Source organism: Homo sapiens, chromosome 11, assembly GCF_000001405.40.
Source record: "Homo sapiens chromosome 11, GRCh38.p14 Primary Assembly".
NCBI classification, from domain to species: Eukaryota; Metazoa; Chordata; class Mammalia; order Primates; family Hominidae; genus Homo; species Homo sapiens.
The window spans coordinates 6422748-6441544 of NC_000011.10; the positions used below are offsets into that span (position 1 = coordinate 6422748).

Here is an 18797-nt window from a genome sequence, read left to right on the forward strand (position 1 = left end):
GCAGTATTCAGGGAAATCTCTTCAGGTAAGAAGGACATAGATTGCATGATGAGGTTGAAGGGAGGACTCTAATTAGCTAGGGATGCCCATGTGCAGTTCACATGGGCATCTTTTTCCTTATGTATTTGACCCGCAGGCGATCTTCCTGAATTCCTGATCTCCTCTGAGGTCTGCAAAGTCTCCTGACCAATGGGGAATCAACCTGTGCCTTTCACCCATCCTTTCCCTACTGTAATCTCTTCCCTCTTCTGATGCTTTCTATGGTGTGGGAGCAACCAATGAATAGCCTATGAGCCACCTCAAATGCTGCATTTGGTTCTGACCAATGTGGGTTCCTCTGAGGCAGCAGACTTTGAAAATTATTACCTTGGACCTATCAGGAAAAAATTGAATTATAAGCAAATCCATCTAGAGTCATTTACCAAGAGTAGTGGCTTTATGCTATTTGGTTTGGTAGTCTAGCTAATTAGAATTACTAGGCAGTTGGCACCCAAGTCACCTATATGAAAGTATAGAGCTTTCATCTCTATTAAAAGTAAAGACACTTCTGGAATGAAGGCAGCTTTATCCTCCACTATATATAAGTACTGCTTTGGTATTGTAAATTTTCTTATGATTGATCTGACACACCTCTTTTCTTCTTGATGGCGGTTTTCATTTGGAAAATCTATAAGGAATAAAGTCTTCCCACATGCTACATGAAGTGGAATTCCTAAGTCAAATTCAAGACCTAGCAAAAACTTTCTCAATCCAATACCCTTCTTCAACAGAACTATTCTTTTGTTTGTTTATTATGAAGAGATGGGGGTCTCACTATGTTGCCCCAGCAGGTCAGGAACTCCTGCACTCAAGCAATCTTCCCACTTTGGTCTCACAAAGTGCTGGGATTACAGGGGTGAGCAACCAAGCCTGGTTCAACAGGACTATTCCAACAACTACCTAGAAGAGTATAGAGTGAGAAGAGAAAAGGACTGAGAACTGAACTCTGGAATGCCAGTGTTTAGGAGCCAGCACAGAAAAAGACAGTCAAGAAGAAAGCTGAGAATTAGCAGAAGGGTAAGAGAAGGATCAGGAGAGAGTAATGTCATGGAAGAAATCCAAGAGAGGAAAGACTTTCAAGGGGGAAGAAGTGGTCAACAACATCAAATGCAGAAAAGATTTCCAATAAGGTCAAGGCAAAAAAAAAAAAAAAAAAAACGTATCCTTTGAATTTGGCAACATGGAGGTTATGGATCCCCATGATTTGATCTGTATTAGCAGAAAATGAAGGCAGAAGCCACAATGCAATGAATTGAGCAAATGGAAAATGAAGAAGTAGAACAAATAAGTGCAGAGCCCCCTTTTGAGAAATTTGGAAGAAAGAATAGACAGTAGCTGCAAAGGTATGTGAGATTCTCCTACGTGAATCCTTGAAACAAAAAAAGATTCAGTTTTTGCAGTATGGAGGTGCCCCAAAAAACTAAAAATAGAGCTACTATGTGATCCAGCAATCCCACTGGTGGGTATATATCCAAAGGAACTGAAATCAGTATGTTGAAGGGATAGCTACATGCTCATGTTTATTGTAGCATTATTTACAATATCCAAGACATGGAATCAACTTAAGTGTCCATCAATGGATGAATGGATAAAAAAAATGTGGTTATAGACACAATGGAATAGTATTTCATCCTTTAAAAGTGGAGATATCCTGTATTTGTGACAACATGGATGAACCTGGAGGACCCTATGTTAAATGAAATAATCTAGACACAGAAAGACAAATGCTACATGATCTCATTTATATGTGGAATCTAATAAAGCTGAGCTCACAGAAGTAGACAGCAGAATGGTGGTTGCCAGAGGCATGGGGGTATGGGAGGGGCAGGGATGGAAGGGAATGGGGAGTTGTTGATCAAAGGGTACAGTGTTCCAGGTAGACAGGAGGAATAAGTTTCGAGATCTATTGAATAGCAAAAAGGCTAAAGTCAATAGCAATGTATTGTATATTTCAAAATAAAGAGAATAAATTTCAAATGTCTCACCATAAAAAATTATAGGTAGGGGAGGTGAGGGATATGTTAATTAGCTTAATTAATCTTTCCACATTGCATACGTATATCAAAACATCACATTGTACCCCATAAACGTATATTGTGATTTCCAATCAAAAACAGTATTAATAATAAAAAAGGAAATTGAAAAATAAAATGAAATTCTCTGGTAAAATGAATCAGGTAAAAGAAAATATTCTGTTTTGCCTTTTTAATAAAAAGATGGTAGAGACTTGAACATTGGGTGTAAACTACTAAAAGATATCAGTAGATATGATGAATTTGAAAAAAAAGAAAAAAGATGAGAGATCAGGAGATCCTGGAGATGATGAGAGAGGGTTGGATCAAAGGCTCACGTAGGAAAATTGGACACCTTACCTTTACAGACTGAAGGGAGAGGGGTGAGGAGAGGGGTGCATGTAGGGCAAAAGGTGGGAGTAGTGCAGAGGTTGAGGTATTTAATACCTAGTGATATCAATTTTTTTTTTTTGAGATGGAGTCTTGCTCTGTTGCCCAGGCTGGAGTGCAGTGGTGCGGTCTTGGCTCACTGCAACCTCTGCCTCCCAGGTTCAAATGATTCTCCTGCCTCAGCCTCCTGAGTAGCTGGGATTAAAGGCACCTGCCATCATGCCTGGCTAATTTTTGTATTTTTAGTGGAGACGGGGTTTCACCATGTTGGCCAGGCTGGTCTCGAACTGCTGAACTCGTGATCTGCCCACCAAAGTGATCTGGCCTCCCAAAGTGCTGGGATTACAGGAATGAGCCACCACACCTGGCCAATATCAATACTTTTAAACTCTTTAGCTGAGGAAGAGAAGGAGGGTTGGATGGGGAACAAGAAAACCTTCACAAGATAAGTATTATCCCATCATGAACATCTGTTGTTGCCATTATTATCTGCCCAGTAACCCTTCCCCCTTTTATTGGTAATAGCACATCTGTTTTCTTTGGAGACCCATCCTCTCCCCACTCTTTGTCCATGTGGTTCAGATGGGAATCATCATAGTCCCACAACCCACTTCAGTGGTACGTTCCTAACCCAGGATTGGCCTATCTAAGTTAAAGTGATCAATTCAGAGGTAGGCACATGACAAAATTTGAGCCAGTGAAAAATCAGATCCAGGAATTTTCCTGGAACTATTGGGCAAGAGGTGCTGATAGAACATAAGCCTGAGGGACAAGGTGCCACAAGGAAGGATGAACCTTCCTAAGAATGACGCTAACTCAAAGAAAGCAAAGCAAGGGATGGAGATAGGTGCCTAACAATATCAAATTAACCTGTAGATTTACCTTTTCCATGAAGTTGAAATCTGCCCATAGATTTTTTTAGCTCTTTAAATCAATAAATTCCCTTTTTGCTTACATCACTGTAAGTTGGAATTTTTTTTTTTTTTCCCCACATCATCTTGCTCCGTCGCCCAGGCTGGAGTACAGTGGTGCGATCTAGGCTCACTGCAAACTCTGCCTCCCAGGTTCAACTGATTCTCCTGCCTCAGTCTCCCAAGTAGCTGGGATTACAGATGCCTGCCACCACACCTGGCTAGTTTTTTGTATTTTTAGTAGAGACAGGTTTCATCGTGTTGGCCAGGCTGGTCTCAAACTCCTGACGTCAAGTGATACACCCGCCTCGGCCTCCCAAAGTGCAGGGATTACAGGCATGAGCCACTGTGCCAGCCTAAGTTGGGTTTTATTACATGCAACCAAGAGTTACAATGCATGTGAATACACGTAGCAGATATTGTCTATTGGTGCTCATTCCCACATCTACTTTTCTATATCTTCTCTGCACCGCCAGGGCTGGAAATCTGAAAACCACATTTCTCAGACTCCCTTGTCAGCTTGGCTCCAATTAGGTCTGAAGGGAAGAGAAAGGAAAAAGCCCTTTTGTTTCTGGCAGTGCCTCTGGCACCATCAGCAGCAGTGGTTCCTGTCTAGTGAAAGTGGAGGTGGTTGCATAGCATCAGCAATACAAACCCCAATAGCATCAGTAGCTAGTGCAGATTCATGGGCTCCAGCTTCTTGATCTTTGGGTGATAACTTTCCTCCTATTTGTTCCTCTAAATCCAGATTAGTAGTAGCTTCCCGATTTTTGGGTAACTGCTTTCCCTGGTTATGTGTCTCCAAACCTTCTTGCAACTTTGTAACAAACTCCTTGCATTAAATCTTTCTCTACTTGGATATCTAGAGTGGTTTCTGTATTCTTATTGAACACTGATTGATACAACACACATTCTTATTTGCATATCATATATATCCACACACATAAGAAGCTGAGAGGTTAAATTTCTCACATCTAAGCAGAAAGTGGCTTGCCTGGGATTGGAGCTCAGACATGTCTGATTTTAAAGTTCTCAAACTTTCTCTGACCTACAGTTGGTTTTTGTTGTTGATTTCTTTTTTTTTTTTTAATAGCTAGATGAAATAGAGGTTAAAGGGGGAAAAGAAATAAAAGTATTGTCAAGAAAGTTGTTCAAATAATTATTTTTTAAAAAAATAGAGACAGTTTTCCTTTGTCACCCGGGCTAGAATGCAGTGATGCAATCATAGCTCACTGTGGCCTCAAACTTTTGGGTTCAAGTGATCCTCCTGCCTCAGCCTCCTAAGTAGCTGGGACTACAGGCACATGCCACAACACCCTGCTAATTATTTTTATTGTTTGTAGAGACCAGAGTCTTGCTTTGTTTCCCAGGCTGGTCTCGAACTCCTGGCCTCAAGTGATCCTCCCAATTTGGCCTCCCAAAGCACTGGGATTTAGGCATAAGCCACTGCACTTGGCCCAGATAATCAATGTTGATGTTTAATTTGGGTGGGAGAAAAATAGCTTTCAGGGAATGGAAGACTGTGACAGTAACAAAGTCAAAGAGCAGGAATGTGGGAGTGAAGTGAGGGAGGCAGAAGGATAAGGGCCTGCACTCACAAGAGAGATACTGGAATTTAAGGAATTTCTTCAACAGGTGGAGCAATTGTGAGTGATGAATAGGGTTAAAGTTTGGCCATAGTAATTGGGTAGCTGGTGTGGGGACATCAGTCTGCAAAGCCTTCAGCAACTGAGAGAACATAGGAGGCTGGTAGATGATGGCCATTGGAATAGTAGGGAGAATGATATGGCTTACATCCATGATGCTGAAGGAGAAGGAATTTAACAGCATGAAAAGGGGGAAAATGGTGCAGATGTGCTGATACAGCTTCCCATCCACTGGGGAAGCTACAGGGGAAGAAAGAGGGGCCCTGGGGTAGAGCCTGTTCTCAAGGCTGGAGGTAAAGACATAGAGATGTTTGTACATGTAAACGATGTACGTGTACATGTTTGTACATGTAAAAGACATAGGGAAGCTTGTTAGCCATGGAGTATGACTCTGAAAAGGTACCATGGAAAATCAAGGAAGAAGAAGCAGGATGACGAACCAGGAAAAGGGGCCATAGCGCAGTTTGGAAGTGAGATTCCTCTTTCTCTCACCTTCAGATCCAATCCATCAGCAAGTCCTATAGACTGTGTCTTCTAAATATTTTTTATCAGCCCACTACTCCACCATTGCCATGTGTCCAGGTGCCATGATCTACCAGATTAGCCACAGCATCAACCTCCACAATGGTCTGCCCACATCTGCTGGGGTTTTCTTTCACCTGGTATCCACTCTGCAGCAATCAGAGAAATCTTTCTCAAATGTAAATCTCATCACCTCACTTTCTTCCTGTCTAAAATCCCTCAGTAGGTCTCTATTGCTCCCAAAATAGACAATATCCATGCTTCCTAGACTGCCATGGAAGGCCTCCTGTGAACTGGTATGTTCCTGCCTCCCTCTCCAGTCTCATCTCACCAGCCCCTCACACATCCCCTGTACTCCAGCCCTGTGGGGCTGGTTGCAGTTTGCACCCCTTGTTGTCCCTTCTCTCCTTTCCTCTGCTCATAATGCTCCCTGGGATGGTAATGCATAGTTGGCAGTGAATATATATTTACTAAAGGAATTGCATAAATTTTACTCATCTTTAAAAATTGAACTAAGTGTTTATTATATATGAAGCCTTTCCTAACCCCTTCTTCATCCTAAGTATTGCTGGCTCCACTGTCCTTTGTATATTGAGTCTTCCATCTTAGTATCTATCTCACTGTATTGCATTTACTTGATGCTTTTTCTGTGTTCCCCTCCTGACTGTGATAGAGCGGCAGATTCTTGAGGGTAGAATGGCAAGCTGCTCTGCACATAGGTGATGCTAAGTGAATGAATGAAAGAAGTATAAGTTGGACCTTTTTATGGTCTGAATATTGGCATCTCCCCCAAATTCATATGTTGGAACCAAATGTCACTAATGTGATAGCATTAGGAGGGGGAGACTTTTGGAAGTGATTAAGTCACATGGGTTTCAACCTCATGGAAGGGATTAGTGTCCTTATAAAAGAGCCCAAAGGGAGCTGCTTGTCCCTTTTTCACCATGTGAGAACACAGCAAAAAGGTGCCATCTTCGAAGCAGAAGAAGCACTCAGCAGACACTGAATCTGCTGGAGCCTTGATCTTGGACTTTCCAGCCTCCAGAATTGTGAACAATAAATTCCTATTGCTGATAGATTACCCACTCTAAGATATTCTCTTATAGCAGCCTAAACTGACTGAAACAAACCATTTCTGGGAGTTCCCTGGAGACAAGCTAGAGGATTCCCTGCAAGAGAACACGTGGGAGGAAAGGAGAAAGGGGAGACTTAGTACTCCCTGCCTCCGAAAACAAGAGAAAGTTAACCTTGGGTATCACAGTTGTTGGATAACTGTTTAGACACCTCTAGGCTCCCTGGCATGATGCAGCAGTGGTCCCAAGTGTAGTGCATGAACTTGATAAGGACCAGACCTGAAACTCTGTCCTTGTCTCCACCCCTTAGACTAGCAGCCAACCCCGTGAGGGTAGCCATCCAAGACACCATTAGGAATGAAAAGTAAAGCTCAAGGTGCTCCTAAGGAGTAGACCCACAACCCTGCTGCTTGGCCCCTAACCTCTGTTCTCAGCTCCAGTCAACTTCCTAGTTAGACCCTAATCTGAGACACTGTCCCCCAGCTCCCAGCCCTTTAAGCTGGAGCCACTCTATAGCCTGGCCTCCCAGTACAAAGCCTTGTGTGACAGTCAGAGCTTGTTAGCTACTACTCTACCCATCAAAGTCCTACGGAGCAAATGGCTGACAGGTTGGGAGGGGCTGACTCCAGATCACATGAGGCCATGAGCCACAGTCTGGGTCTACGTCCAGAGCCCCTTCCCAAGACAGTTCAAGGGATGGGTTTGAGTCTATATTCATTGTCACTGGAAGGTGGGTGGCATTGTGTCTATTTTACAGGAAAGGAAAATGAGGCTAGGACACGGAAGCTCAGAATAAGGGCCCTCTGCTGGAAACTCAGGCTATTTTTTGAGGCTGAAACAAGCCAGCCTCCAACCTCAGCTGGGTTGTAAAGGCAGTGGAGGAACAGGGCCTTGTCTGAGACATAGCTACCTATAGTCTAGGCCCAATTCCCAGTTAAACAGCTGTCAGCAAATTTGGAACCCAAAGCCTTCACCAGTTTATGACCAGAAAATAACCAAGCACTGCAACCTCCTTGCCAGTGACATTTGCTGGTCTAGATGGTGCAGATACCCAGGAGGCTAATTGGGTAGGCCAGATCCTCTGTGCCAGCAAAGCTCCTGAGGCTCCAGCAAGACTCCCAGGGACTGTGTTCTGCAAATGTGCTCCATGGTGCCATTCATTCTTTCTTCTCTCTCTCCAGCTTGCCTCTGACACACAGCTGGTGTATTTCTGTTTCCCCACTTCAACTTCATTCCACTTGTCATGCCTAACTCATGGCAACACAAGCCATGAGTGGTGTTACTTGAATCACCCAGAACCATAATTTGAGGTCCCCCAGATTGGACCTCCTACCCCACAACTCTGAGCCAATCCTCTTTGCACATGCATAGTTGCCCCAGGCCCTGTTGTTTCTGATGCCTTGCGGCTGGGTTGTGGCCATCTACCAGCAAGTTGAATCAGAGTCCTAGCTCCACCTCTTACTTGCTGTATAAACTCAGCTGTTCCTCTTCCGACTCTGGTTCTCTTTCCCCCCACTATGTGTAGATAGTCTGCAAAGAGCTAGTTTATGATCTGGACCTAAGAATCATCTGCGCAGAGATAGGTTTGCCCCTTAGTGCTCCCCTCCCTTGTTTCTCACAGCCTTGTTTGAGCTCGACACCCTCAAAGGAGAAGTGCTAACTTTTCAACTCAAAGAAAGAAGATTGTTTCACGACCAAGGTCCCTTGATTCAAGTGAAGAAGCAATCTGTCTTTATTATGAGAAACTGGGGAGGTGGGGCCAGGCCAGACTCATGTCAGAAGGCCCCTCAGTGAGAAGCGAAGAAGCAATCTGTCTTTATTATGAGGAACTAGGAGGTGGGGCCAGGCCAGACTCATGTCAGAAGGCCCCTCAGTGAGTGCAGCCCAGGAGACTGGTCACATTCTGGGGTTGCGGAAGGGCCTTGGCTGCATTCAGTTTCTCCACATCACTGTAGCAGTACAAATTGGGACCATGGATGAGGTACAAGCCGGGACCATTGGCGGAACATGAGTTAGGGCCAAGGGACTTTTCCATACACAAGGCTCCGTCTACCTTCTCATGGGGCCAAGGAAGCTCTGTCCACGTGGCTTGGGCTCCTGACTTCAGGTCCAGCCACCACAGCCGCCGTCCTGGGGAGAAGGCACCAAACATAGCATGGCTTCCATGTCATGGGGATCCTGACCTAGGCCTTCTCATGCCCTGGGGATCCTGACCTAGGCCTTCTCATGCCCTGGTGGGGATCTATGCCACAGACAGGTAGCAGAACAAGCTGCCCTCTAAGCACCCAGAAGCCCCTCACCTGCCATGATATGGAGCCGAGAAGACCCAGGGCAGATAAAGGCCGCATCCACAGAGTCCAGGATAATCCCATGAGGGGTCCCGACTTCCTTCTCCAGCCGCTTCGGATAACCGCTTACTAGGGTATAGCCTCCCTTTGTCAGGAAGACATATACCTGGGTGCCCTGGAGGACAAAGGATGGTAATAAATACAGAGTTGGATATGCTTGTCCCAGTCTCTACCTCAAGCCTCTCCCCCAATACACACCTGGACCAGATAGAGTTTTTCTTCCCAGGAAAAGGCAGCATCCACTGCTGAAGGACCCTGGGGCCACTGATGAGCAATGGGCCAGCTATGCCAGCCATCCCGGCTGGTGTCCAGACGCCAGTAGTGGGTCCCTGTGGAATACCATAGGTTGCTCTAGGGCCGCTGGCAGAAGCCCAGGCAGAGAAGAGGCTAGTGATGAATGCAGAAATGAGTCATGAGAGGGAGAGAATGCATCCAGAGGCCAAGATGGAAGAGGCCAGGTGAGAAGGAGAAATAGAGCAAGACTTGGTCAGCAATGTTGGGCACTGTGCCCTGGCTGAAACTGGAATCAGCAGGTGCCTGAAAGAAAGGCAAGTGTGGAAAACAGTGGCTAAGTTTCCAGGTAAGGCCAACATCATGGGGTTGGCGGGCACTCCCTAAGGATTTCAGGTGTCCATGTACAGAGATGCGGTTATAGATAATGAAATACAGTGTCCAGAACTTAAAAAGGAAGCACCACTTCTACTGAATGTTCTCACTCTGGCTGTGTTCTCCAGTCTCTCCCTATGAGGTGGTGGAAGAGTGAGGGAGTAGCTGGGCTAGCACCCCGTTTTTCTTCTCCTCTTTTCACAACAACTTATTAAGGAATTATCTAGGCTCCCATTTGTCTTTTTTCCTCAATCCTCTTCAATTACACTTCTGTTTCCCTCAACCATTGAAATTGTTCTTATCCAGGTTGCTAGTATTCTCCAATTTGCGAAATCTCATGGTCAATTCTCTGTTCTCATCTGACCCTACCTCTCAGGAGCACTGGACTGCTCACTACTTCCTTCTCCTTTAAATGTCTTTTTTTGGAACTTGGCTTCTGTGACACCTGACTCTCCCAGTATTCCTCTTATCTTTTTTGACTACTCTTTTCTTCAACCTGATATCTAAATATTGGAATCCCCTACTTTGGGCCTCTTCTCTTCTCTCTCTACCTTCACTTCCTTGGTAATCTCACCTAGTCCAGGGGCTTTAAATGCCATCTATATGCTGATGACTTCCAATCTGTTCTCGTCAGCTCTGACTGACCTCTCCTTTGAGGTTTAGGCTCCAAATCAGCTGCCTACCTGACATGCTTATGGGGTGCCAATAGGCACCCAAAACCTAATATGCCCAAACTGATTTCTGCCCCCCACCAACACACACACTCCCTAGTCTTTCCCAATTTTAGAAAACAAAACCACCAGCCACTCAGTTGCTGAGTCCACGAAAGCTGAGTCATTCTTGAAGCCTCTTTTCCCTTCCCTACTCTGACTGATATCATTCATTCATTCATTTATTTAGAGACGGAGTTTCACTCTTGTTCCCCAGGCTGGAGTGCAATGGTGCAATCTCGGCTCACTGCAACATTCACCTCCCAGGTTCAAGCGATTCTCCTGCCTCAGCCTCCCAAGTAGGCTGAGATTACAGGCATGTGCCACCATTCCCAGCTAATTTTGTATTTTTAGTAGAGACGAGGTTTCACCATGTTGGTCAAGCTGGTCTCGAACTCCTGACCTCAGGTGATCCACTCGCCTTGGCCTCCCAAAGTGCTAGGATTACAGGCGTAAGCCACCACACCCGGCCTATCTTAGCTATTAGTTAATGCTGTCAGCTCTACCTCCAAAATATATCATGGTGATTCCTCACCACCTCTGCTGCTATCATCCTAGTCCAAGCGGTCATCACCTCTAATTTGGACAACTGCACGGATTGCTAGCTGGATTCCTTGCTTACATGCTTGTACTTTTATAACTTATGTTCTGCAAAAAGTCAGAGTGATCTTTTATAAAAAATGAGTTAGAATATATCACAGCCCTGCTCAAGACTTTCTGATGACTCCCTTTTATGGTTGAAAACCCTTACCAGGTCTAGGTAACCTGGCCACTGCCGTCCCTGCCCTTTCAAGTCACCCACCTGCTCTTTCTCTGTGTTCCAGCCTCACCAGGCTTCCTTCTTGATTCCTTGAAGTATGTGCTGCTCACCCTCCCTAAAATGCTTTTCCTCCAGCACATCGTGTGGTTAATTCCTTCTCATCACTGAAGTCTCAGCTCAAAAATCATTTCTTCAGAAGACAGCCCTCATTCTCCTCACCTCTATCCCACTATCCTGTCTTATTTTCTTTACAACCCTTAATATTACCTAAAATTATTCTCTTTCTTCCTTTCTCTTTCTTATTGTCCTCTCTCACTTTAGCAGAGCCTGTCAGGGCAGGCATCTTGTCTGCCATGTTGACTACTGTATCTCAGTGCCTAGGACAATGCCCACTTCTTATCAGATGCTCAACAAATATTTGTTGAGTAAATACCTAGTGTTCTTGCTGCTACCACAAGTTCTCTTATTAGCCGTGTACTGAGTATACAGCGGTGACTGACATATCCACCTCCCCTGGGAGGTTTCCCACTGAAATTACCCTGCTCAGGAACCATATTTATTTTATTTTATTTATTTGTTTTTTGAGACAGGGTCTCAATCTGTCACCCAGGCTGGATTGCAGAGGCACAGTCACGGTTCACTGCAATCTCTGCCTCCCACACTCGAGCAATCCTCCCACCTCAGCCTCCTGAACAGCTGGGACTACTGGTGCATGCCACCACACCTGGCTAATTTTTTGTATTTTTAGTAGAGATGAGATTTCACCATGTTGCCCAGGCTGGTCTAGAACTCCTGGACTCAAGTGATCTGCCCCCCTCGGCCTCCCACAGTGTTGGGATTATAGGCATGAGCCACCACACCTGGCCCAGGGGCCCTATTTTGAGAACCAGAGCTATGCTGCTTTGTGCAATGAAGTAAATGATGAGTTCCCAACCCATTAATGTAGCCAATACATAGGCTGGCAATCAACCACTTTAATGTGGTGTGGTCTGAAAATATGGACTGGGCCATTCAGATTCCCTCTCTGGAAATCTTACTAGGAAAAAAGAGCAACTGAGGGAGGTATCAGTTGGAACTGAGACTGAAAGATCATGAAGTAGTGAGAAAGTGGAGAGAACATGATGGTCCACGTGCAAGCCAAAGTTGTGAAGAAGCAAAGAGAATAGATAAAAACCTATGAGGGGCCAGGCGTGGTTGCTCATGCCTGTAATCCTAGCACTTTGGGAGGCCGAGGCAGGCGGATCACCTGAGGTCAGGAGTTCGAGACCAGCCTGGCCAACATGGTGAAACCCTATCTCTACTAAAAATACAAAAATTAAATTAATAAATAGTACATTGTAACCCAAAAAAAAATACAAAAATTAGCCAGGCATGGTGGTATGCGCCTGTAGTCCCAGCTATACGGGAGGCTGAGGCAGGAGGATCGCTTGAACCCAGGAGGCAGAGGTTGCAGTGAACCAAGATTGCGCCATTGCACTCCAGCCTGGGTGACAGAGTGAGACTCCATCTCAAACAACAGCAACAACAACAACAAAACTGTGAGTCAGAGAAAGAAAAATTTACCAGTGAGAGGGGAGGGACTGCCCCATGCTGTAGCTGGGTCATGTTGGTGATTTTACCAAAATAGTGCATTCTCACCTCAGCTAGGTATATATATATATATATGGGTTTTTTGTTTGTTTGTTTGTTTTGTTTTGTTTTTTGTTTTTGTTTTTTTTGAGACATGGTCTCACTCTGTCACCCAGGCTGGAGTGCAGTAGCACGATCACGGCTCACTGAAGCCTCGACCTTCCGGGCTCAGCCTCTGAAGTAGATGGGACTATAGGAACGCACTACCACACCCGACTAATTTTTATATTTTTTGTAGAGATGAGGTTTTGCCATGTTGCCCAGGCTGGTCTCAAACTCCTAGGCTCAAGCCGCTCAAGCAATCCACCTGCCTCAGCCTCCCAAAGTGCTAGGATTACAGGCGTGACTCACCACGCCCGGCCTGGGTATTTTTAATATAAGGTGTTCTCTCCATGCTGTGGGCTCTCTCAACAGCTATGGAACATACATGACATTTTTCATTTAGGAGTTCAGTAGCATTCTCATTATGGCCACATGGCCTTGAAGTTCTGTGATCTCTAGATGGCTTGGTGTCTCTCTCTATTTCTGTGTGTTTCCTGTGGCCCTGTTTTCACAATCTCTCACTCACTCTCTCTCTCTTTCTGCATTTCACTTTGTCTGTGTGTCCTCCCAATGGGCTCCCACCATGGCTGTGTGTTCTCTTGATACTTATGTGTTCTTACTATGGCGTATGTTCTCAGTTTAATGTTGTATTTTCACTACAGGTGTGTGTTTCATCTTAGCTGTATGTTCTTATTATAGTGTGCAATCCTGCTGTGGAGATTTGCTCTCCATGTGGTGATGTATTTTTCAACAGAACTTGATAGTCATAACTGGTCAAATTTGTCCAAGGGTCAGGAGCCAAAAAAATTTTGTGTGAAAAAAATATTTTCACGATTTTATATTCTTACCACTGTCCTAATTATACATATATCTCAGGTTGGATGTGATGTGGTTGCTCACTCCTCTTGGGGATATTCTCAACTGTGCAGCATGACTATTTACTGCCTGACTGAACTCAGAACAGCCCTAGGTATTATTAGATGGCTTTTACCAATTGATGCCACGGGTCAAGGGAGGGGTATCTCCATTGGCTACTCAGAGGAGAAACCTCCAGAGGCTAGTGAAGCCAGCCTCTAAAGGTCTAAAGTACCCAACACTTCTCAGCTGGTTCTCAGCAATGAGAACATCTCATCCCCAGGCAGTGCTATGCCCAGGGGTCTGGACATAGGAACCAGGAACCTGAAACAAGATGGAGTTCTGAGGATAAATCAGGGGGAGCCAGAGGACTCAGAAAGATATGCAAGAACAAAGGGAGGCAAGGAGGTACAGAGACACATAGAGGTCCAGGGAGCAAGGGAGAGCCAGAGGGCTCAGCAGGGCATTGAGCAAGGAGAACACAAGGAGTCATAGGGGCCCAGAGAGGTCCACAGGGGGCACAGCCATGGGAGTAGATGGTAGACAGGTAGATGAAGTTAGGGGCTTGGGCCGTGACAGACAAGATTGAGAAATATGCCTCAGAGATGAGGGATGCAGAAGGGCATGCAGAAGGATGGGGACAGAGGGGACAAAATAAGTGACACAGTGATGACAATGGAGAAATGTGTCAAGGATGGGAGATACAAGTAAAAGAGATGTGAGAGCACATTGGGGGAGTTGGGGGCATCTCTCACCACTGAAGGCATAGGTGGCACCATGGTTGTCAGACGTCAGTGCAGACAAGACTAGATGTGGGCTACAGCGCATATACTCAGGGCCATGGTGGGTACTGTTCCCATGGCCAGTCCCATTCCTGTGTCCATGGCCTGGAGAGAGAAATGGGTGAGGAGAACACAGAAGGAGGCCAGAGGTCAGAGTGAGGTCCAAGGTGGAAGAGATGGCTGGGGTTAGTGGGGTGTGGGTTTCCCCATATGAGGGCAATGGGAAAATCCAGAATGGAAATGGGGCTAGATTAAGGGCCAAGGTGTCGCAACACGGAGTTAAAGTGAGAGCTAGGACACGTGAGATCCACAAGCTCAGGGAAAGTGGATGAATTCTGACAGGTCTCAAGTGCTAGGGCTTTCTCACCTCTGCCAGGGCAGGGCATGAAGTAGTCTCGGACATCCCGCGGGTACCTGGGAGGCACCTCTCCCCTGACAGGGTCGAAGCGCAGGAATTGGTTACCCTGGAAGCAGTAGTAGCGGCCCAGCCATCTCAGGGCAGAGGAGCAGTTCCCAACAGCTGGCCAGGAACGCTCCTTCATGGTTCCCGTAGCCAAGTCCCAGAACCACTCGCGGTCACCTTTGTCCAATCAATCAACAGGCATTTGGTGAGACCGGGTTACGCCCTCCTTTGTGCTTTCTCTGGGTCCCAGGATGGGCCAGATAATGGTACTGACCACATGGAGCTCACAGCCATCAGAGAGATGGCTAAAGGAGGGTGATCATACACCAAAATTCAGCAGCAAAACACACAGGATCAGCTCAGCAAAGGCAGTGGGGAGAGTCTGGGAAAACTTCCCAGGGAAGATGATACTTAAAGTGAAATCTGAAGTAGGAATTAAAAGGCACACAAGGAGAGATGGAACCCCAGAGAGAGGAAAGATTCCAAAGCATGGAGCAAACTGAGTGTACAGAGAATAGCATAGGGTTTCTGGAGCTTAGTGTTAAGGTAAAAGTATAATAAAAGTCAAAGCTGAAGGGCCAATAGGGATTTGGCCATGGAGAGACTTGTATGTAAGACTAAAGAGGGTAGATTTGTCCTAAGGGTCATGGGGAACAATGAGGGACTATTCACACAGAATTACACACAGTTGCCTTCACCAGAATGACTTCCTCTCCTTCCCTCACGTGACCTCTAGACCATACGTGGCTTCTCTATTTCCCTTCCTTAAAAAGCCACATAGTGGCTCCACCACCACCATCACTACCACTATCACCATCACTACTGGCATCACTACCAACCCACCACTACTCCAGGTTCTTGGATTCCAGCCTGGACTGACCTTGGAAGAAGAGGACGCCTTCAGCTTGACATTCTCCACGGTGACATTCCACAGCTGCATCCAGTGGGGATGGGATTCCAGGAAATTCATCTTGGAGCAACTTTGGGTATCCTTTCTCCTTCTTTTCAGGAGGGTATACCCAGACTTTGTCCCCCTGCATTCAAAAGTACTCTCTTTTTGACTGTGCATCCCCAGATACTGCCACTCTGCATTTACACACATTTTTTATCTACTGTGCTTATACGATATCCTCCTGTGGCCCTACACATTCTCAGTCCATCTGTGGACAACAATGTGCTGTCCTTTTGCACATTACACACTCTCAGTTTGTGCAAATCCAGTCACTATTACTATAACACACATGCCTCTAGCTCTGTACCCAGACACTCCTGTGGCACATTTATCTGCAACACTATCAGTGTTGACAAACATATCCACAACTGTTCATCCTGCAATCACCCATACGTTATTTCTTCATTCATTTCTTCATTTATTTATTCATTCATTCATTCATCCAAGAAACAGTCACTGAATAACTACTATATGCCAGGCATTGTGAGAGGCACTGAGGATAACAAGACTCTGTCTTTCACTTCAGGAAGTTCACTGTACAAAAGCAGAAAGGACTCCTGCAATCCTAGCCATGCAACTACCAAGGTGTAGTGTAAAGAGTGCACTGAGAATATAGACAGAGTGCCTAAGTCTGCCTAGAGAAGTTGTGGAAGGTTTCACACCAAAGAGGAAGCATTGGGCCCAAGAGCTGAAAAATCAGCAGGAATTTTCCAGGTTGACAAGTGAGGAAAGGGTGTTACCAGCAGAGGGAGCAGCATGCAGAGCCCAAACATGAGGAAGCAGTGTGCTCCAACCTCATGTAGATTCGTATGGCTGGCACACAGTGAATGTGGCAGGGGAGGAGATAAACCTGAGAAGATAACCAAGGCCCAGATCATGAGACCCTGTGTGCACTTGGTTTGTAGTAATCAGGCACATTTTGGGGTCATTTACTGAAACAGGAAACACAGGAGGAAAGGTTGGTTTGTAAAGAAGATGCAAAGCTTAGTTTGGGGGATGCTGAATTTTAGGTGCCTGTAGAACATACAATTGGAAAGAGATGTCTGGAGCTCAGAAAGTAGATCTAGATCCAGTGTCCACAGCATAGATATTCCTCAGAGCCAAGGTGATGGTTGAGATCACTGAGGGAAGGTATATGGAAAGGCTAGGATGGATCCCCAAGGAACATTAGGGAACTGGTTGAGATAGAATGAGACATTTGAGAAGAGAGAGAAAAGAGGCAGGAGGGAAAACAAAGCCGACAGTCAGGACTTCCCCAACCACACAGCACCTTTGGCAAGGTAGGAAAAGGCACCCCTTCCTCTGAGCAGACACAGCCTGGGTCACATGGGACTTGGTGAGCACAGCAGACTGGATTTCATGCTCCACATGCTCTTCTAGCCAGGTGCCATTGTGTTGGGAACAACTTGCCTTGCCCTATGAAGAGGACTTGATACAGGGTCATGGAAGGCAAGGGAAGCAATTGCCAGAGAAAAAAAGGATGGCCAGCAGTGTGAGGTACAGCAGAGCGGTGTAGAACTAAGACTAGGACTGAAGAACAGCCACTGGATGGTGCACCTGCCAGGCCCACACGCATGCACACTCCCTTAGCCCAAGCTTTTACAGGAAAGGAGGGCACATGGGAAAGAAATCTGCTACCTATTGCTATGGGCTCCATGCCAAGGCCATTTGGGGGAAGGGTCCCCAGTGTCGATTCCAGCCCTTTCCAGCCTGGCCCTGATTTTGGCCCAGCAGTACCTTGATCAGAAAGACACTGTTGTGACCTTGACGGAATGCAGCATCCACAGGGCTGGGGAAATTCTTCCATCTCTCTGAGATTAACTCCCGGTCCCATTTGTGACTCTTCCACACAAACTCCCCTGAAAAAACCCACACTCACTGAGGGGCCCAGTGAGAAACCTTTGACCTACTGAGATAGCTTGAGAGAAGCTGTCAGTGATACCATCAGATAATTCCTAAGACCTCCCACAGACAGGGACACCCTTTGTGAAGGAGAGTAAGTCTAAGGTCCTAAACGCCCTAACCTCAGTCCCTCCTACCTTTAAAAAACAGCATGGTTCCATTGTCATCCAGGGTGGTAGCATCAAAGCTCCAGCCATCTGAGCAGCGTTCTGGGGTGGAGGTAGGGAGATGGCAAAGTAAAAAAAAAAAAAAAAAAAAAAAAAAAAAAAAAAAACCAGAAGGTGATAAAATGCAGAGACACAACCAGACAGATAAGACAGACTTAGGGAGTCAGGGCCTCACCAGTCACGTCTGGGTCTGGCTTGGTCTCGCCTTCAGCAACATTCCCATGGGCACTAGTCCTAGGGAGAACAAAATAGATATCTTGATCCATTGGGACCGATCCCTTTCCCATAGCCCCTGACCCCAAATTTGACCGAGGCCTAAAAACTGGCCCTACCTTACCCTAGCCCAGAACTCAATCCTTCGCTTCTAGTCCCAGCTTTACTCACGGAGGAAGAGGGGTGGCAATGGCCAGAGACCAGCATAGGCTCCACAACCCCAGTGCAACGGGTGCTCCCAGTACCCTAGCCATGCTGAGCTGCAGAGGCCACAGGACAGCTCTGGGTGACCAGTTGAACTCCCTATATAGAGTTGGCAGCAGCACCACCCCCACCTCCAACTCTACTGGGAATGTGCTGTCTCCCAGGACTAAGCCAATATTGGCTGATTACATCACTGCAAATAAGGTCAGGGTCTGGACAGAAATCTGAATCCAAGACTCCTTTTTCCCGGCAGCTGCCCCCCAACCCCCTTCAGCAATTTTCAAGCAGTAACTGGGCTACACTGCTGACGTCCAGCTGTGACTCTCACACTGGCAATGGGTCCAGGCATCCATAAGTCAGGGAAGTGAGTAGACTGAGGATCACCTTTTGTGATTGAGTTTATCTCCACAATGGGGGAGGTGAGAAAAGGAGGGAACTAATATTGCTGTGTACTGTGTCAAGCCCTGCTCTAAGGCAGCTAGAGACAGCAATACTTACTACTTTTAGTAACCACACACACAGATAAACTTACTTAGAAATACTCAGAGAACAGCTTTTTCCAAGCTTCATCAGGGGCCTTTCTGGGGCATGCCCAAGCCTCTTCAGCTTTACCCTTGGGCTAGTGAGTCTG

The 18797-nt window shown here is 46.0% G+C and overlaps 1 protein-coding gene across 1 annotated transcript, besides 2 other annotated features; it reads right to left on the reverse strand.

Annotated features, from left to right (window-relative positions):
• Positions 8302 to 18240, reverse strand: HPX (hemopexin). Its single transcript, NM_000613.3, has 10 exons — positions 18134 to 18240; positions 17925 to 17983; positions 17720 to 17791; positions 17418 to 17539; positions 15609 to 15762; positions 14693 to 14905; positions 14299 to 14430; positions 9140 to 9270; positions 8894 to 9056; positions 8302 to 8723 (listed from the first exon to the last, which is right to left on the reverse strand). The coding sequence occupies exons 1-10, from the start codon at positions 18214 to 18216 to the stop codon at positions 8464 to 8466; spliced, it is 1389 nt and encodes a 462-aa protein (NP_000604.1). The 5' UTR covers positions 18217 to 18240; the 3' UTR covers positions 8302 to 8463.
• Positions 11588 to 11637: an enhancer, noted in NCBI's record as "active region_4340". NCBI's record gives its function as "activates an Ori minimal core promoter by ATAC-STARR-seq in GM12878 lymphoblastoid cells {active_cell/tissue: GM12878}" and the evidence as "EXISTENCE:reporter gene assay evidence [ECO:0000049][PMID:35858748]".
• Positions 13103 to 13302: a silencer, noted in NCBI's record as "silent region_3102". NCBI's record gives its function as "represses an Ori minimal core promoter by ATAC-STARR-seq in GM12878 lymphoblastoid cells {active_cell/tissue: GM12878}" and the evidence as "EXISTENCE:reporter gene assay evidence [ECO:0000049][PMID:35858748]".
• Positions 18241 to 18797: the final 557 nt, after the last annotated feature.